Raw genomic sequence first — 20,755 nt, 5'->3', positions numbered from 1 at the left:
TCTGTAGTCCCAGCTACTGGGGAGGCTGAGGCAGGAGAATGGCTGAACTCGGGAGGTGGAGCTTGCAGTGAGCCAAGATCGTGCCACTGCACTTCAGCCTGGGCAACAGAGCGAGACTCCGTCTCAAAAAAAAAAAAAAAAAAAAGAGTTCAGAACTGGAAAAGGCATTCAAAATGTAAGGCAGAAAAAGCCACTAAGAAAGTTAATTACCTAACAAGTTGAAAATTATAACAGATCATGACATAACAGTCATCAGAAAATTTGTCAACAGTAACAATACTTTTCCATACTTTTACCCCAGCGTAAAAAGAGTTATTTTAACATAGTTTCAGATTTCCTATTTCCAACCCATAGTTTTAAAAACATCTTTTATTATCTCCACTCAACTACAGAATTACTTATAGGTGCTTATCCCACCTTTCTGCTTCCTCCAAGTTATTTTTTAATTGCGTCAAATTTGGAATTCATCAAACTTAAAATAGGACATTTACTGTACACCATATTAAAGCCTTTTCCAACAGTATAAAACTGAAAACTGTTAAATACAATTGGCTACTTATTAGAATAATTATCAATATCAAGCAAACATTTCATTTTCCCTCCCAAACCCCCCAAAACAAAGATAATTAGAATAATGATCAGTTTTGGGCAAACATCTCGTTCTCCTTCCCAACTCTCCCAAAACAAAGATAATCAGCATCCAATTTTTTCCCCACAATTTAGTACTAAGAGATCAACACTGCCATGAATTGGGCTTGTTTTTCTGTGCTGGATCAGCAGCTCCAAGTGGAGAATGCAAGCACTGCATTTCACTAACCTCGCCAAGAAAAGGCTGGCACATGCATTCATCATCATCTAAACCAAGCCCAGGTAAAGAAACAGAATACAATAAAATTTACAGTAAGATTTTCCACAAAATAAAATTGACCTTTGTTTCAAAGAACATAATTCTGAAAGGCTAGGAAAAGCAAAACTGAAACGGCCTCTCATGACTTTAAGAATGAACTTATTGAGCAAGGCTCACCCAAGGGTTTATATACATATTGCTAGACAGATAGTCAGACATTAAAAACCTACATTTTTGGCCAGGCATCATGGCTCACGCCTGTAATCCCAGCACTTTGGGAGGCTGAGGCGGGCGGATCACCTGAGGTCAGGAGTTCAAGACCAGCCTGGACAACATGGTGAAACCCCATCTCTATTAAAAATATAAAAAATTAGGCCAGGCACAGTAGCTCACACCTGTAATCCCAGCACTTTGGGAGGCCAAGGCAAGCAGATCATGAGGTCAAGAGATCGAGACCATCCTGGCCAACATGAACATAGTGAACCCATGCCTCTACTAAAAAATATACAAAAATTAGCTGGGCATGGTGGCGCATGCCTGTAGTCCCAGCTACCCAGGAGGCTGAGGCAGGAGAATCGCTTGAACCGGGGAGGCAGAGGTTGCAGTGAGTCAAGATCCCGCCACTGCACTCTGTCTCAAAAAAAAAAAAAAAAAAAAAATTAGCCGGGCATGGTGGCAGATGCCTGTAATGCCAGCTACTAAGGAGGCTGAGGCAGGAGAATCGCTTGAACCCAGGAGGTAGAGGTTGCAGTGAACCGAGATCATGCCACTGCACTCCAGCCTGTCTCAAAAAAAAAGACTCTGTCTCAAAAAAAAAAAAAAAAAAAAAAAAAAACCCTTTTCCATAGGAAAAGCTTGTGACTTCCACATTCTTTCAGGATTAACATTTCTATGATATGTCAAACATGTTTTATTTTTGTCTACACTAAGCATTCACTTACAACATTCTAACTAGATAAAAAATTTTGAATGTTAGAAAAGTACAGTGCTTCTTATCAACTAGGGTTACAAAACCTTGAGAGAATAGCTCCTTGACACCCATTATAGATAAATTTAGTACAGTAACTACATAAATGGAAATTAATGAGCTGTTTGCTCCTGAAATAACACATACTTGAAAAAGAACTTGAATGATAAAATTTCCGTTCTAACTACAAAATCAACTAAATACCTTTAGTTGATTTCAAAAGCCAGATCACTTAGACCTAACAACTGACAGAAAAAAAAAGTTACGAGTGTACTACATGACAACATCAAGTGCAGGAAACAGGTTGCAACCCAGTTTATATCATTTAAGTTTAGAAAGAAAAGAAATAGCTCTGTGCATTTATGTATATAAATGCAAAGTGTTAGTAGGAAAAATAAGAGGATTTTCACTTAACCTCATACATTTTGGAATTGCTTAAAATTCTTAACACAAAAATGCATGACAATTTTAAAAAGGCTAAAAATCAATGTATTAACAGCACTAACTCGTCTCACGTTTTTCTGAAGCACAGAATTTTTTTTTTTTTTTTTTTGTGACGGAGTCTCGCTCTTTCTCCCAGACTGGAGTACAGTGGCTCGATCTCGGCTCACTGCAAGCTCCGCCTCCTGGGTTCACGCCATTCTCCTGCCTCAGCCTCCCGAGTAGCTGGACCTACAGGTGCCCGCCACCACGCCCGACTAATTTTTTGTATTTGTAATAGAGACGGGATTTCACCGTGTTAGCCAGGATGGTCTCGATCTCCTAACCTCGTGATCCGCCCGCCTCGGACTCCCAAACTGCTGGGATTACAGGCGTGAGCCACCACACCCGGCATTTTCATTTGTTAAAAAATAAAGGGTGAAGAAAAGCTTAGCCTTCCTCAATTCCTTTATTATATTGATGTAAATAAGTTTAAGAGAAAAAGATAAAAAACAGGATATAAAATGCACAATGTATCTCCAGTCTCACTGTTTAGATAGGCTCAGAAATTTACTGGCCTACCAAAGTGTCGTGAGATAGTAAATAACATTTTTTTAAAAATCATTTTCAACATCTTTATTGTAGTGACTTGATTCTCAAGTGATGACTCTGGATTTAGCTTTTCACAAATAAAGGTAAACATTACCCAGCTGCACATCAAAGCCCTAATACTTAAACCTGAGACGTTTCCTCAGGGCTGCGATGCACAATTTTTATCAAGCAAGGAACAAACCAATAAAGCCAAGTTGAACACACTGGCAAACGTCGGCAGGAATGGTCAACCTACACATCTTAATCCTAACACTCTGCAAACCTTGGGACCGCTGCCTCATTTCAAGAAAACAGGAAACACAGGTGGAGTGTTGCTGGCTCTGCCACTGACGCAGTTCGGTGAGAGAATGAACTCTGAAGCACCCTCCCCGTCCACAGGCAGCAGGACACCACGCTGCGCACCGGTTTTTCTTGCTAAATAGGGAGTGGGGAACTCCGAATATTCTTGCTGGAAAGGTTAAAAACGCTTTTCTTAAAGCAGCCTTGAGCTATTTATAAGTTGCACATCCCATCAACACCACACGAAGTACTGAAATACGATGCCGGCTGCCTCCTGGAAGCTACCGGACGGAGAAGGGGCGAAGGCGCCAGGCCGGACCGCGCCGGGGACCCCCGCCCGGGCCCCGACGTCACAGGCCGCCCCGCGGTCGCCCAGGCCTCCGGCATCACAGAGGCCCCCAGCCCCGGGACCAGGCGCCCTCCTCCTCCCCACCGCGCTCTCGGGTGGCTCCGACCTCAATCTTGCAGAGGCTGGGCTGGAAGATGAAGGTCCCCGCCAGGTCTGGATGTGGGAGCCCCGGGGTAGCGACCTCAGCCGTTCGCCCCCACACGCCACCCAGACAACCTCCCTCAACTTCGTCCAACTTGCCGTAGAGCCTCAGTGCCAGGGTTCGAGGGCCCTATCCCACCCCAAGCCAGCGTTTCCCCCGGAGCCCCGCACGAGGCTGGCGAGAGCTGGAAGGGGTGTGACCCCTGCCCCTCTCCTCCTACCTTCGGCGGCCACCAGGACCCTCAACTCTCCCTACTGTTCCCGGGCCCCTCCTCCTGAAACCGGCCCCCGGGACCCCAGTCTCACAGCGGGCCGAGCCGTGGTCCGCTAACCCCGCTGTCCCCGCGTACCCGGCGCCTGCAGGCCGCCCCCGGGGCTATCGGGCCGCTGAGCGACGGGCGCCGGGAGGCTCTTGCGCTCCTTCTGCGACTCCCTCCGGCCGCCCGCGCCGGCTCTGTGGCCCGAGGCCCCGGCTGGGCTCCTGCCGCCGCGGGGACCGGCCCCGGCCGCCGCCGCCGCCTCGTCGCGCCTCTTGCGCTGCAGCTGCTGCTGGCGCCGGCGCTCGGCCTCGCGCAGGATGTCGAACGGGTCCGACTCGTCGTCCAGCAGCTGATGGAAGCGGTTGGCCACCACGCAGCCGAAACTCTCCTGCATCGCGGCGCCAGCGGCAGCCACGGGACTCCCCAGAGCGCCCTTCATGCCGCCGCGACCACTGCGGGCCCGGGAGGGCAGCCCACGCGAGCGCGTCTCAGCGAAGCCGGCGGCCAGGACCCATGCCGCCCGCTCCGCCGCCACCGCCCTCCGGGCCCTACCCTGTCCGGCCCCTACCGGCGCCCGCCCCCGCGGCGCCGCCGCCGTCCGCCCCGCTGCGCCAGACAGCCAGTCAGCGCGCGCGGGTGCGCCCCCTTTCCGACACGGCGCGCCTGGAGACCCAATCACCGACCGGCTGCTGTCACGTCACGCGACCTCTGGGCCCCGCCCCGTTCGCTCAGCAGGGAGGGGCGGGGCCCAGGGGCGGAGCTACTGGCTGGTCCAGGCGGCGCCGACGAAGCGGTGGGGTCTCGGCTGTGTGTGCTTTCTCCCGGGACTGCGACCGTATTTGCTATGGGCCACTCTGCTTTGAAGCTTATGTATACATTTAGCCGTGCAACAGCTACATATTGCGCACTTACCGTGTGCCAGGCATTATGTTGTAGGAAATACTAGCTCCGTGTTGTCACAGATCTGAGTCTGTAGATGGAGAAAAAGTGCCCTGAAGGACAGGCGCAGAGCTCTCTACGGGCTGCAGCAAAGGGATCTGACCTAATTGGGAAATGACAGTTAAGCCGAGGGAGAGGGGTGACAAGGGGTTGGAGGAGGAACAGCAAGTGCAGCAGTCTTGAGGTGGGATGTGCACAGCCTATTCAAGCTCAAAGTGGTCTCTATTCTAAGAGCAGTGGGAAGCAAGTTTTGAGCATGAGCAGATTTGGGTTTGAAAAGGCCACCCTACCTGCACTGTGAACTAATAGTTTGGAGGGAAATACAAATGGATGCTGGGAAGCCAAACATGATTGTTGCAAAGCTCCAGGGAAGAGTTGATAGTGACTGGGATTAGGATGGTGGCGGTGGAGGCGAAGAGAGTAGATGGATTCAAAGACTTGGTGATGCGCTAGAGGTGGTGATGAGGGAGAAGAAGATACGGTGACTCTTATTTTCCTGGCTCCAGCATCTGAATGATAGTATTAGTTACCACTGGAAGACACTACTTTAACGGGAATCATTAATTCAGTCTGGGACACGTTGAGGTTTGGATATTTGTTTTCTTTTGAGATATTCAGTTGAGGCCTGGAGCTTAGAGAACGCCGGACTGGACTTCCTCCAGGAAATCTTTGCATAGGCAGCGGTGGAGACACGCTTGGCTGCCTATCCTACAGCCGTTCTTTCCCTCTTACATTTTTCCAGAGCCTGTATTTTGTTCAGGCATCATATTCCCCAGGGGAAGAGGGCCCCTTCCAGCCTCAAACTTGATTAATCATACATTATTCATTGCACCTGATTCCAATTCCTTGCCAGTAATTGGCTTAGGAATAGGCTGTGGGGCAAATCGGGCAGAACAGATCTGAGAAGTATTCTGGGAAAGTTTTTCTTGCACCTAACAAGGGATTGAGAAGGGATCTCCCCCCCTTCTGTTCCCTGGTCTTTGTTCCATGAGAAGACATGATGCCTCGGGTGGCTGTTCCTTAGCGTGGCCATGAGGATGGCAGAGCAGGATAGAGAAAGGCTAGATCCTTGATGAGGTTGAGCTGCCGACTGGACCCACTTGGGAACCTCCCTACTTGAGGCTTATGATGTAAGGTGACAGATGTGATTGCGCTTAGTTGTGTTTGCTTGTTTCATCCGAAAGCATCCAGTTAGAGCATCTTGCCAGGTGCTCTGTGACCAGCTTTTACTTTCCTTAATAGCAAAGGAATTCCTAATCCTAAATGCTGTAAAGTCTGTGTGTTACTCACTTATTGAATTTTGTGTTATTCCCAAGGAGGACAGGGATGATGCCTGTCTTATTCACTGCAGTATGTATTCCCAGTGCTTGGCGTTCTAAGCAGCTATAGAGTAGGTTTTCAGTAAATATTTGTTGAATGATTGAAGAATTTAAGATATTTGGTCATCTCCTTTTGAGTGAGCAAAGATTAATGCCTACGCTTTCTACCCAAAAGAATTAAAAGCAAGTGTTCAAACCAAAACTTGTACATGAGTATTCATAGCAGCACTATTCACAATAGCCAAAAGACAGAAACAAATAATATACATGTCACCCGATGAATGGATAAATAAAATGTGGTACAAAAAATATTATTTGGTCAAAAAGGAAGTATTGATACTTGTTACAACAGGGATGAAACTTGAAAACATTGTGCTAAGTGAAAGACGGACAAAAAGGGCCACACGTTGTATGATTCCATTTATATGAAATGTCCAGAATCTATAGAGACAGAAAGCAGATTGGTGGTCACCAGGTGTGGGGGTTGGGAGTGTTGGAAAGTAACTGCTTAATGGGCATGGGAGTTTCCTGTGGGGTGATGAAATGTTCTGGAACGAGATAGTGGAGATGGTTGCACAAAATTGTAAATTTAGTAAATGTCACTGAGTTGTACACTTTAAAATTGTAAAAATAGTAAATTTTGTGTAAAATTTAGTAAAAATAGTAAATTTTTTGTAAAAATAGTAAATTTATCTTAATGAACCAGAGTAAAAATAGTAAATTTATCTCAATGAACCAGAATCACTACATGCAACAGAGACCACACTTTGAGAAGCACTGCTTCAAGCTAAAGTTATCTTTGGTATCTTTAAACTGCTCATCACCAAACCACAACACCAAGGAATCATGATCATGTGAGAGAAGGGCCTGTCGTCTTCCCACTGGGCATCTGGAGTTAGCCTGCTCCCCTGTTTTCTTCTTATCTTCCTTACAGCATAACCAGCCACTGTAAGTTCTTAAAGCATGCCCTGTGAGCACTGCCGCCTCATTTCCAAGTCACAAATGCCCCAAATGGTTGTAAGAGAACCAACTCTCGTTGCTTCAGGATTCAGAACATCTTTAGAACTGAAATAGAGATGAGTAATCCTTACCTGGTATTAGATGGCCACAAGTTTCTTTTTTTTCTTTTTTTTCTTTGTGTGTGTGTGTGTGTGTGTGTGTGTGTGTGTGTGTGTGTGTGTGTTTGGCAGAGACAGGGTTTCACCACGTTGGTCAGGCTGCTCTCAAACTCAAGTGATCTGTCCACCTCAGCCTCCCAGAGTGCTGGGATTACAGGTGTGAGCCACCGTGCCCGGCCATGGCCATGAGTTTCTTACGGGGCTATTGACTACTGCACAATTTACTGAGAGTAAGGTTAAGCACCCTCATATTTTTTACTGATTGTTTTTTCTTCTAGGAGATTGCATCCTTAAATGCATTCCTAAAATACAACTCTACCACATTAGCATAAGTTATTCACACATTGTGTTTAATGTGGTCAGTTTAATAGACTGATCTTTTTCATAATCTGATATATGAAAACAGCTTTTAGTAATCATAATACCAAACAATAACACACATCTTATAGCATGGAAAAACAAAGCACATCAAAAATGCTGTGAAGTGTGGATGCTGAATAATACTACCAGCCCTTCCATGATTATTATATATATTCCAGTGGTTATTTATTACCACCAATGGAAATGCAGTGAAACTTAACTGTATACAAGATGTAAATTACCTTGAATTACTTAATAGAGGAGTCCCATTAGGAATAATAAAATACACTAACATCTTCCAGATTGACTTGGAATTCACAGAACCATTAATTGAGAGTTTAGACACATGTAGCTTCATTACTTTCAATTACATGCAGGGAGCAACACCTGGGTGAGAGCCAAGGAGGAGAGGCCAGGTCAGGCTGGCGAGGATGTGAGTTCTTGTTAATTACCAAAGCACTGCATTCAATCTGCTCTGTTTTGCCGCTGAATTCCTGCTCTCTCTCTCCTTACCTTTTTCTTGTCCCTAAAGTTAGGATGATTATAACCTGTCTTGCATTCTTCATATAGTTGAATGGAAGACAAGACCAAAGAAGTCAATTGAAAAAGGTAAAAATAAATCTCACTATTTTATAATTGTTTCTACTTGCATAATATATGCAAAAACAAAAGTATTTTTCCTAACTCTAAGAGGATCTGATCTTTTATGCCAGTTGAGTCAATTATGACAGGATCAATGAAGTTACATAATAGTTCCTGGTTTCACTATTCTAAGGGTGATAAGTGAGTTCAAATTCAGTTTCCCACAACAAATGAATAAAGCAAGTAGCAAGTACATAGGCTCAAAGTCAGGAGTTGTAGAACCATAAACCATTAGTTAACAATCAGGATGCACCAGAAGAACTTCTAGCAAGCGGAAATCCATTCATGATGATCAGATACACAATGTTTAAATCATGAAATAATTTCCCCAACCTGCTAATAATATTTGTATTCTTGGTGTCATTGAGGGTCTTTCCAACTTGCCTTCTTATGACAAAAGGTTACTGGATAGCTTAGTGCTTTGTATACTCAAAGCAATTGTGCCAATAGAAATTTTTATTCTCTCCCATTCCTACTATTAAAAGTTTGATCTCTAGTTGTAACTTTAATCAAGGCCAAATAAATAATTGGGGATTTAGAACTTTTTATTTCCTCATTTATTCTAGATCCTTCAAGTTGTGAGCAACAGAAAACCCATCTGGAATAAGTAAAACCAAGGACTTTGTTGGCTCAATAAAAAAAAAAAAAATCTACCAGGAACAGTGATTCGCTCCAGAAATTCCAGACCAGCCTGGAACTCCTGAGCTCAGGCAATTTGCTTGCCTCAGCTTCCCAAAGAGTTGGGATTACAGCCATGATCCACCATGCCTGGCCAACTTGACTTTATTTATTCATTTATTGAGATGGAGTCTCACTCTATTGCCACAGCTGGAGTTCAGTGGCGCAATCTTGGCTCACTTTAACCTCCACCTCCCAGGTTCAAGTGATTCTCCTGCCTCAGCCTCCCCAGTAGCTGGGATTACAGGTGTGCACCACCACATCCAGCTAATTTTTGTATTTTTAGTAGAGACAGGGTTTCACCATGTTGGTCAGGCTGGTCTCGAACTCCTGACCTCAGGTGATCCACCTGCCTCAGCCTCCCAAAGTGCTGAGATTACAGGCGTGAGCCACCATGCCTGGCCGACTTGACTTTAGTGCATGCACAGAAGTCCCAGAATTGAATCACGGGCCTATGTCTTGGGTCACACATACACCATTGAACCCAGTTGCTGTACTGAAGATCATTTAATTCTCTCATCATCCAGGCTTGATTACCAGCCCAAGCTGGAGTCTGATTGAAGTCATCACCCCCTGAACCACTGGAACTGAGAGTTGATGGGGTGGTTCCCTGAGGAAAATAAGGTTTCTAAACCAGCAGGTAGGAATAGATGCTGGGCAGGTAGCAAACAGAATTCCTTGCATGTGATGATGAGCATGAATGTGGTATTGCTGTGCCTCTTGTCACACTGGATTATTGGCCTGCATTATAGTTCTTTGTCCTTATTTCTCCTCCCTAAGGTTAGAAATAGTGTCTAATTCATTTCTGAATCCCTTCCTTCCCTTCTCTCTGGTTTCATCTTCAGTGCCTTTTATTCAGGAAATATTTGTTGTTTGGTGAATGAATTTCTTGTTTATATACATGTACTTATGACAAGTAATTTTACATGTGTTAAAAATAAAAATGTGGCTGAGTGTGGTGGCCACATTTTTACTTTAATCTCAGCACTCTCGGAGCCCAAGGCATGAGGATCACATGAGCCCAGGAGTTTAAGACCAGCCTGGGTAACACCATGAGACCCCATCTCTACAAAAAAATTTAAACATTAGCCAGCTGTGGTGGTGTACACCTGCGGTCCCAGCTATTCGGGAGGTTGAGGTTGGAGGATCACTTGAGCCAGGGAGGTTGCGACTGCAGTGAGCCATTATCATGCCACTATACTCTAGCCTGGGCAACACAGTGAGACCCTGTCTCAAAAAAAAAAAAGTAAAAATGCAGCAAATTAATTAATAGATGAGAAGCTGATAAATGCATATTATAAGACAAACAGATGTGATACTGTTTCTTTTTCTGAAAGATTTATTATTTTACACATTTGTGGATAATTGTAAGCTGAATCTTATATAGTGCTTACTGGGTACGAGTAATAATTTCTAATCATTTCTAAGCATTTTGTATCTGTTCATTTAATTCTTTTTTTTTTAGATGGAGTTTCGCTTCTGTTGCCCAGGCTGGAGTGCAATGGCGCGATCTCGGCTCATCGCAACCTCCGCCTCCCAGGTTCAAGCGATTCTCCTGCCTCAGCCTCCCTAATAGGTGGGATTAGAGGCATGTGCCACCACGCCAGGCTAATTTTGTATTTTTAGTAGAGACGGGGTTTCTCCATGTTGGTCAGGCTGGTCTCGAACTCCCGACCTCAGGTGATCTGCCTGCCTCGGCCTCCCAAAGTGCTGGGATTACAGGCATGAGCCACCACGCCTGGCCTGTTCATTTAATTCTGAACCTGATGAGGTAGATGCTTTTTCAGTCCCATGGTATGCTGAGATGAATGCCTCAGCAAGTGGAAGAGTCAGGCTCATGAACACGTCTAACTGTCATGCTCTACTGCTAAGCATTGAGCTAAAACATGGGGTGTTAGTAGGACATAGTCTCTCTCCTTAAAGACCTATGCAAGCAGGAGGCAGACATCACTGTGTATATAAAGCACTAGTTCTTAGAATCACTCTAAAGGGAACCAGTCTCAGTGGCTCACACCTGTAATCTCAGCACTTTGGGAAGCTGAGGCGGGTGGGTCATTTGAGGTCAGAAGTTCAAGACCAGCCTGGCCAACATGGTGAAACCCCGTCTCTACTAAAAATACAAAAATTAGCCAGGCGTGGTGGTGCACTCCTGTAATCCCAGCTACTCGAGATGCTGAGACAGGAGAATTGCTTGAACCCGGGAGGCAGAGGTTGCAGTGAGCCAAGATTTCGTCATTGCACTCCAGCCTGGGTGACAAGAGTGAAACTCCATTTAAAAAAAAAAAATTGCTGTAAAGGGGAATTGTGTGTAAACCCACAGCTAGATCACTAATAGAAATGATTTCAAGACAAGCCTGAGCAACACAGTGGGACCCTGTCCCTACAAAAAATTTAAAAATTAGCCAGGCATGGTGGCATGCTCCTGTGGTCCCAGCTACTTGGGAGACTGAGAGATGAGAGGATCACCTGGACCCAGGAGGTAGAGGCAGCAGTGAACCATGTTCACACCACTGCACTCCAGCCTGGGTGACAGAGTGAGACCCTGTCTCAATTAAAAAAAAAAAAGAAAATAAAATAAAATAAAAGAAAGAAAAAGAAATGATGGACTGGGCACAGTGGCTCACACCTATTATCCCAGCACTTTGGGAGGCCGAGGCAGGTGGATCATGAGGTCAGGAGATCGAGACCATCCTGGCTAACACGGTGAAACCCCGTCTCTACTAAAAATACAAAAAATTAGCCGGATGTGGTGGCGGGCGCCTGTAGTCCCAGCTACTCGAGAAGCTGAGGCAGGAGAATGGCATGAACCCAGGAGGCGGAGCTTGCAGTGAGCTGAGATGGCACCACTGCACTCCAGCCTGGGCGACAGAGCCAAAAAAAAAAAAAAAAAAAGAAATGATATGAGGATATGCTTACTGAGGCCCTAGTGGGGGCAACTGGTATACACAGACCTCCCACAAAATATCATTTTGCAGAGTGAAAGTTATACTGTGTCTGTGCTAACATTGGGCTAAGATGTTGAAATAGGGCTGTTCTCCTATTTAGACTACACTTCAGAAGTGTGTTCATAAGCTAACACCTCACTTCTTTAAGGATGGTCTGTGGACCAGCAGCTTCCACATCTGAGAACTTTTTAGAAATGCAGAATTTCAGGCCTATCCCAGAGCTACTGAATTAGAATTTACACTTTACAACATCTGTAGGAGATTCCTGTATACAGTAAAATTTTAGAAGCATGGAGCTAAAGTAAAGATACACAGTCAGAAATTAGATCTGTCAGTATCATCTGGATAGATACCCAATCGTCCTTTTTGGCTGAGGCAGTTTAGCCTTATCCAGCAGCTGGTACATTTAATGTGTTCAGCCTGGGACCTAGGCACATCATTGAAAAAGATAGCCTGACTACCGCATAGGGACGGAGGTCCCTTTGCTGGAGCGCAGGCCCCATGTGTTCTGGGGCTCCTGGCTATCCTGCCACTACTGCTTAAATTGAAAGCTGGAAAAAGTAGAAGCCTAGCAGGCCGTAGAGAAAAAAACCACTTGGGGCCAAGTGGTGAGGAAAAAAGTGTGCTCTGCAGGAGCCTGGCAAGCAAGCTACCCCAGATCTAAGAAAAGAAGTATTCTTTCTCCTCCAGTGTCCCTCTAGCTCCCTCTACTGACAGGGCTTAACATCAAACTTCTGGCAAAGGAAAACAATTTAAAAGGTCCAGCCAGATGCATTTTTCACAGTGCAGGCAATAAAGGGTGAGTTTGGTGCTGCCAGGCAATACCTTAATAACTTGCATACTATAATGTACTTAACCAGTTCCCTAGTAGTGGACATTTTAGTGTTTCCCATTTTTCACCATTCTCAACAATGTTGAGTGACTGTAGACATATATATTCTCACACTTGAATGATTATTACACAAAAATTTTAAATTGAGGAGAGGGACATGAAGAGATTTGCATCCCATTCTTGGATTAATCAATCAAAGTAGGTCCTGGGATAAATTTGGCCAGAGAAAATGTGGAAATCAGCAGCAGCCTGGATTACTTAGAGATATCCAAGGGCTTTGTTAAGAGTTGGCCACAGTTGCTTTCTTAACAATCACTGTAGCTGCTAGGAAAAATTGTCTGTTTAAGAAGTCTTTAGGCCAGGCACAGTGGCTCATGCCTGTAATCCCAACACTTTGGGAAGCTAAGGCAAGAGGATCACTTGAGCCTAGGAGTTTGAGACCTGCCTGGGCAACATTGGGAGACTTTGTGTCTACAGATAAAATTAAAAATTAAAAAATTAGCAGGGAGGCTGGCCACGGTGGCTCATGCCTGTAATCCCAACACTTTGGGAGGCCGAGGCAGGCAGATCACCTGAGGTCGGGAGTTCGAGACCAGCCTGATCAACATGGAGAAACCTCGTCTCTACTAACAATACAAAATTAGCTGGATGTGGTGGTGCATGCCTGTAATCCCAGCTACTTGGGAGGCTGAGGCAGGAGAATCGCTTGAACCCAGGAGGCGGAGGTTGCAGTGAGTCGATTGTGCCATTGCACTGCAGCCTGGGCAACAAGAGTGAAACTGTCTCAAAAAAAAAAAAAAATTAGCAGGGCATTGTGGGACATACCTATAGTCCCAGCTACTCAGGAGGCTGAGGTGGGAGGATCTCTTGAGCCCAGGAGATTGAGGCTGCAGTGAGTCATGATTGCACCACTGCACTCCAGCCCGGGGACAGAGTGAGACTTTGTCTCAAAACAAAATAAAAAGAAGTCATTATAGGCTCAAGGATTCACTTCCCATCTCAGAATGGTCATCTAAGTCCAAGCTCTTAACCAGTCGAGCCTTTCCCAGTGTAACACACCCCTACCCAGCCACACCTAGGACCATCAGAGCTCTTTCAACTCCTTCAGGTTTATTTAATACCTGAGGAGGTGCATTTTTACTCTTAGGAGATTAATTTATTCCCCTTGGGAATATTTTTAAAATTGTATTATCATATTACACATAACATTTTATAGATGTTTGTAAACAGAATTAAAACTGTTGGCCAGGCACGGTGGCTCATGCCTATAGTCTCAGCACTTTGGGAGGCCGAGGCTGAGATCAGGAGTTCAAGACGAGCCTGGGCAACATGGTGAAACCCTGTCTCTACTAAAAATACAAATATTACCCAGGCGTGGTCCAGGCACCTGTAATGCCAGCTACTCAGGAGGCTGAGGCAGGAGAGTTGCTTGAACTCAGGAGGTGGAGGTTGCAGTGAGCCGAGATCATGCCATTGCCCTCAACCTGGGCAACAACTCCATTTCACACACACACACACACACACACAAAGTGTAGAAGGCCCCATTTTCTGCATGAAAGCCTTCTTTTTCCTGCTCACCCCCACCCCAGTTCCTACCTACAAATTCCTCAGTTCAGCCTATTGGTGTTCACTTCTTAAAGAAATATCTCAATCCATTAATCAAGTGAGCACCCACATTATGCCAGGAAATCTTTACAAAGATCCTGGAAAACTGGCATCATGATCATCATTTTATACACAAGGAAACGTATGGTCAGACACCTAAATGATTTGTCTGAGATCACAGCAGTAGCAATTAGTAAAGCTGGAATTTGACCTCAGATTTTCTAAGTCTAAGCCAAAGCCACTGCCATGTTGTAAAACATATATAGGCTGGGCACGGTGGCTCAAGCCGATAATCCCAGCACTTTGGGAGGCCGAGGTGGATGGATTGCCTGAGGTCAGGAGTTCAAGACCATCTTGGCCAACATGGTGAAACCCCGTCTCTACTAAAAATACAAAAAATTAGCCGGGCGTGGTGGCGTGCGCCTGTAATCCCAGCTACTCTGGAGGCTGAGGCACAAGAATTGCTTGAACCCAGGAAGTGGAGTTTGCAGTGAGCTGAAATTGCACCACTGCACTCCAGCCTGGGCGACAGAGTGAGACTCTGTCTCGAAAAAACAAACAAACAAACAGAAAACCCCATCATATATAAATAGTCTACGGGGCAAAGACCCAGTAGACTTGCTATCTTCTACATTGGCTTAAAAGGCCTCACCATGTGCTATGGTCGCTGAAGTCGCCTGTGAAAGCCCCTCCCTGTCTGTTCTGGTCCTGGTGGTCCTTCCTTCAGGGTCCCTTCCCACAGACATCTGAACACCTCTTCACACATACAGAGCCCCCTCCTAAGTCTTTGCCCCTCTGTCCTTTGGAGTTCTCAATCCTAGCCAGGTCTTACTAGAGAGGGGACAGAGGTTACTTCTGAGGGGATGAGCCCTTCCTTCCCAACATCTTTTGGAGCTATGACCCAGCTGAGAGATTAGCAAGCAGTGAGGATGTTGCCAACCTTTATGGAGCATCAGCTGAGAGTTAGGCCTTGCATGTGCAGAAGTACAAGATGTGGACCAACCGCCCTTGTTTTTGATTATTGATCCCCAGGAGCTGGCTACCCTTTTGTTTTCTTACACATTTTTTTTTTCTGATTACAAATTTACATAGACACACACACAGGTAAAAAGAAATTCAAATATTATCAAAATATATGACCAAATATCCTTGTAATATACCCCTCCCCCATCATTATTAACAGTTTAGCATATTATTTGTTTTGCATTTTAAAAAACTGTAATAGACTACTTTTAGAGTGGTTTCATATGCACAGCAAAATTGACCAGAAAGTACAGAGCTCCATAAGCCCCCTGCTTCCACTCACAGCCTCTCCACTGCCAACATTCCCCGCCATAATGGCACACGTGTTACAATCACTGAGCCCACATCCATGCATTGTTATCACCCAGAGTGTGTAGTTGGCACTAGGGCTCAGTTGTGGGGATGCACATTCTGTGTGTTTGGACAAATGTATAATGACATGTATCTACCATTATGGTATCACACAGAGCAGGGCTGCTGCCCTAAGTAACCTCTGGGCTCTGCCTCTTCATCCCACCCTCCCCCATCAACCCCTGGCAACCACTGATCTTTTCACTGTCTCCATAGTTTTGCCTCTGGACATATCCTTCCAGAATGTCATAGAGTTGGCTAGTACAGGAGGTAGCCTTTTCAGATTGGGGAGCTGAAGAACTTGCCCAAGGTCACCCATGATGTAACATCAGGCTACACTAAACATCAGGCTCTACTAAAAATACAAAAATTAGCTGGGCGTGGTGGCATGCATCTGTAATCCCAGCTACACAGGAGCCAGCCGATTTTTATATTTTTAGTAGAGACGGGGTTTCACCATGTTGGCCAGGCTGGTCTTGAACTCCTGACCTCAGGTGATCCACCAGCCTTGGCCTCCCAAAGTGCTGGGATTACAGGTGTGAGCCACCACGCCCAACCCAGATTGGCATATTTTAAATAATTTTTTGTCCTTAAGTATACATGATTCTTTGCTTATTATTAATTAAATAGAGATAATGGCAAATATATTGTTCAGCAACCTTGTTCAGGTAAAACTATTGGCTATATTTTCTTGTCAGTGTATATAAAATATAATGATAGTAATAATAATAGCTAATATGATTGAACATTCACTATGCACCACGTGCTGTTCCACTGTAAATGTTTTCCATGTGTGTTATGGGCTGAATTTGACCCGCTAAAATTCATATGTTGAAATCCTGACCCCCAGTACCTTGAGATGTGACTATATGTGGAGATGGGGTCTTTTGAGGAAATTAAATTAAAATGAGGTCATCAGGGTGAACCCTAATCCTATATGGCTGTTGTCCTTATAAGAAGAGAGTAGGGCACAGACATGCATAAAGCAAAGGTTCTGTGAAGACAGAGGGAGAAGACAGCCAGCAGCAAGCCCAGGAGAGAGGCCTCAGAAGAATCTAGCCCTGCCAACACCTTGATCTGGGACTTCCAGCCTCCAGAACTGTGAGGAAGTAAATTTTCCATGGTTAAGCCCCCCAGCCTATGGGCCTTTGTTATGGCAGCCGGAACAAACTGACACAGTGTGTAACTCAGTTCTTCTCACCAGAGTCTTGAGAGGTTAGCACTATTGTCCCCATTTTACAGGTGAGAAAACTGAGGAGCAGGGGAGCTGAAGAACTTGCCCAAGGTCACCGGTGATGTAACATCAGGCTAGACTAAGATATTCTGTGGGCCGGGCAGGCAGAGTGGCTCACACCTGTTATCCCAGCACTCTGGGATGCTGAGGCGGGCGGATCACGAAGTCAAGAGATCGAGACCATCCTGGCCACCATGGTGAAACCCCATCTCTACTAAAAATACAAAAATTAGCTGGGCGTGGTGGCACACACCTGTAATCCCAGCTACTCAGGAGGCTGAGGCAGGAGAACGGCTTGAACCTAGGAGATGGAGGTTGCAGTGAGCCAAGATCGCGCCACTGCACTGCAGCCTGGTGACAGATCGAGACTCCGTCTGAAAAAAAAAAAAGATATTCTGTGGCAAAGAACATCTGACATCTCAGCAGTTTCACACAACAAAGGTTTATTTCTCACGCACGCAGCAAGTCTGGCAAGGGTTGGGGTGGACACATGATCCCCCCGGTTACTCAGGGGTCCAGGCTGATGGAGCCTTCATCTCAACACCCTCTCCGCTCCCTGAGGTAGAGGAAAGGGCCTGTGGTGAATCTGGCATTGATTCCTGAAGCTCTGCTGCTCAGCTGAGGCAGGTCACGAGACCACCCCTGTCTTCAAAGGGTGCACGGAAGCACAGTCCCACAAGTGTGCTGAAGGACAGAAGAACCAGGCCTCACAGCGACTGGCGACCACACAGGGCAGGCAAACCCAGACACACTCCAAAGCCTGCACTCCTAACCTGTATTCACAATACAGCAGGGTGCTGTGCGGTGCAGAATTCACTTCCTCTGAAGAGAGGCCTGGCCTTTGTGCGTGTGGCTACTGAGAGGTGACTTGGGGGTCCCTGGAATATCCTGCCTTATAGTTATTTATTTGCCTGGAGTGCTTTTGCGATCAGACAACCATAATCATGTGATTTCTGGTGGGGGCTTTGGGACATGCCCTATCAGTTGCGACCTCCGGAGGGGCAGAGACTAAAAAGGTCAGCCATGCAAACAGTGTGTGATCAAGTCCCAGTAAGAACGAGGACATCAGAGGCTCAGCTGAGCTTCCTGGGCTGGCAGTCCTCCAGTGCATTGCCACACGTGGACACCAGGCCGGTAACCATTCCTGAAGACAGGAGCGCTGCACATGGGGATCCACTATGGTTTTCGCTTGAGGTGTCTCTTCCTTTGGCTGGTTCTGAGTTGTAGCCTTCCACTGTAACAAAGCTATAACCACAAATATAACACTTTCCAGAGTTCTGTGAGTCATTCTAGTGAATTATCAGACCTGAGGGTGGTCATGGGAACCCTAATTTGCAGCTAGCTGGTCTGAATGAGGGTGGCCCAGGGAGCCCCCAAACTTGAGGCTGGTGTCTGACTTGAGGACACTCTTGTGGCACCTATCTGCTCTGACTCATCGTGGCTGTTGTCTGCAGTCTTAGGCAGACTTGGCAGTCTGAAGGACTGTGCCCTTCACCTCGAGCTTGGCTAACTCATTTTCAGATAGAACCTTTTCTTTATTTTTTTCTCTTTTGTTTTTTTCCTTGTTTTCATTCATTCATTCTCTCTCTTTCTCTCTCTTCTCTCTCTCTATTTTATTTTATTTTTTCATACAGAGTCTTGCTATGTTGCCCAGACTGGTCTTAAACTCCTAGGCTCAAGCAATCTCAGCTTCTCAAGTAGCTGGGACCATGGGCATGTATCACCATGACTAGCTATACTTTCTTAATCATATGCCAGCTTTCCTCTCCAGTTTTTTCCACCACCTTCTCCACCCTCTCATATGATCCTTACAGGACTATGTTCTACAAACATCCCTGGCTCCTTCAGGCCTCAGTGACCTCACGTATGCTGTTTCCTCTGCTTGACTTACCCTCCCTGAGCTCCTCAGGGAGACTATTCACCATTCCAGAGAAAGCTTGGAAGCCACCTTTACTTCAAGGTTGTTCGTTCCCCCACCAGAAAGTGTTAGTCCTTCCTTTTACTCTGCCTCATACTTTGTACCAGCATGTCCTGTGGGCTTTCTGTTTGATTATCCAACAAAAGTAAATATACATAAAGACAATGCAAATGAGAAGGTGTTAGGACTGTTCTGCAGAGATGGCTCACAATGAGGTACACCTCGCAGTTCTCGTGTGTTTGTGCAGTCACCTCCCTCATTGAATCTGGACTGGCTGTGACTCATGTTACCTAATAGAATGTAGTGGGAATGATGCTGTGCCAATTCCGGACCTAGCTTTTAAAAGAAATGGCAGCTTCTGCTTTCTTTTTCTTGGGATTCTCCTTGGACCCAGCTGCCATTCTGTAAGGAAGCCCAAGCAGCCACATGGAAAGGCCACTTGGAGAGGAGAAGCCCTAAAACTATATGGGGAAGGAGAAAGACTCAGCCATTCCTTTATTACTGGCAAATTTCCAGATCACTTTAGCCCCATTTGCCATCTGACTGCAACTGCCAGAGACATACAAAACAAGACCAGCAGAACTGCCTAGTTGAGCTCAGTCAACCCACGGAATTATAAGAAAATGAAATGGTGGTTGTTTTAAGTCACTTAAGTTTTGGCCTTACAGATCATTAAGCTGGGAAGTCAGTAACACAAAGATACCCAATATCCTGGGTATTTCCACAGCATAGGCAAAAATCCAAGAGGACGGGAGATGAACATCGTGAGAGAGAAGTGTGCTTTCTGTGACACAGAAGGCAGTTCAGTTCAACAAATGTCCAGCTGGAAAGCCATCTCTTCTGGTTGTTCTTCCCTGGCCAACTAAATTTTTCAAGCACTTCATGATGTGTGTAGCTTAAGTAAGCCCTTTAGGTAAAACTTCAATTTATTAAAGAAGAAAGACAAAGTTGTCTGCATGGTGAAGACATAATGATATGTAGAATGAATAAATAAAATGATCAATATTTTATTCTTAAAAATATTTGACATTTTTTAGGTAACAGAGGCATAGTAGCTTTTACTATTTATTAGAAATATTATTTTAAATAAAAGTAATCATGTAAATACAAGACATTCTTCTCACTACCTTTAATATTGGGGGAAAAGTTGAGAGTTATTGGCCCTCCTCTGGATCACTTGGGAATGAGAGAATTTGTCTTCTACACTTTTGTTTTGAGGCGGAGTTTCGCTGTTAATGTCCAAGCTGCAGTGCAATGACACGATCTCCGCTCACTGCAACCTCCGCCTCCCGGGTTCAGGTGATTCTCCTGTCTCAGCCTCCCAAGATGGGACTACAGGCGCCCGCCACCATGCCCAGCTGTTTTCTACACTTTTAAGAATGAAACTCACACCCGTAATTCCAGTACGTTGGGAGGCTGAGGTACGTGGATTGCTTGAGACCAGGAGTTTGAGACCAGCCTGGGCAACACAGTGAGACCTTATCTCTACAAAAAAGTAAAAATTAGCCAGGTGTGGTGGGGCATGCCTGTAGTTCTAGCTACTCGGGAGGCTGAGGTGGGAGGATTGCCTGAGCCTAGTTCAAGGTTACAGTGAGCTGTGATCATGCCACTCCTCTCCAGCCTGGGCGACAGAGCAAAACCCTGCCTCTTTAAAAAAAAAGAGAGAAAGAGAGAGAGAGAGAATGAGAGAATTTTTTTCTCCTGCCCCAGGGCCTTTCTACTGTTAAAGGATGTTTCTACCTGCTGTTTGCTCTGCTCAGAGCCAAGTTTCCCTAAGATGGCTCACTCCCTAAATTCTTTTAAGTCCCTGCTCAGATGTCTCCTAATCAAAGAGAACTTCCCTGACCAGCTTTTCTTTTCTTTCTTTCTTTCTTTTTTTAAGAGATGGGTTCGGTTGGGCGCAATGGCTCACGCCT

At 45.5% G+C, this 20,755-nt stretch overlaps 1 protein-coding gene across 5 annotated transcripts in view, besides 4 other annotated features; it reads right to left on the bottom strand.

Annotated features, from left to right (window-relative positions):
* HABP4 (hyaluronan binding protein 4) overlaps positions 1-4,492 on the bottom strand; it is a 41,235-nt gene extending 36,743 nt beyond the window's left edge. For 2 of the 5 annotated variants that reach the window (NM_014282.4, XM_047423006.1), the window contains exon 1: positions 3,966-4,425. In NM_014282.4, the coding sequence (NP_055097.2) occupies positions 3,966-4,314 (349 nt within the window). In that variant the 5' untranslated portion in view covers positions 4,315-4,425. The other 3 variants (XM_047423008.1, XM_047423007.1, XM_005251812.4) reach the window with 3 other exon arrangements.
* Positions 3,908-3,957: a silencer, noted in NCBI's record as "silent region_20085". NCBI's record gives its function as "represses an Ori minimal core promoter by ATAC-STARR-seq in GM12878 lymphoblastoid cells {active_cell/tissue: GM12878}" and the evidence as "EXISTENCE:reporter gene assay evidence [ECO:0000049][PMID:35858748]".
* Positions 4,038-4,097: a silencer, noted in NCBI's record as "silent region_20084". NCBI's record gives its function as "represses an Ori minimal core promoter by ATAC-STARR-seq in GM12878 lymphoblastoid cells {active_cell/tissue: GM12878}" and the evidence as "EXISTENCE:reporter gene assay evidence [ECO:0000049][PMID:35858748]".
* Positions 4,108-4,647: a silencer, noted in NCBI's record as "silent region_20083". NCBI's record gives its function as "represses an Ori minimal core promoter by ATAC-STARR-seq in GM12878 lymphoblastoid cells {active_cell/tissue: GM12878}" and the evidence as "EXISTENCE:reporter gene assay evidence [ECO:0000049][PMID:35858748]".
* Positions 4,928-5,007: an enhancer, noted in NCBI's record as "active region_28654". NCBI's record gives its function as "activates an Ori minimal core promoter by ATAC-STARR-seq in GM12878 lymphoblastoid cells {active_cell/tissue: GM12878}" and the evidence as "EXISTENCE:reporter gene assay evidence [ECO:0000049][PMID:35858748]".

This window comes from Homo sapiens, chromosome 9 (assembly GCF_000001405.40).
Source record: "Homo sapiens chromosome 9, GRCh38.p14 Primary Assembly".
In the NCBI taxonomy this organism is placed as follows: Eukaryota; Metazoa; Chordata; class Mammalia; order Primates; family Hominidae; genus Homo; species Homo sapiens.
The sequence above is the reverse complement of the archived record's forward strand: the minus strand, read 5'-3'. Positions and strand labels throughout refer to the sequence as shown.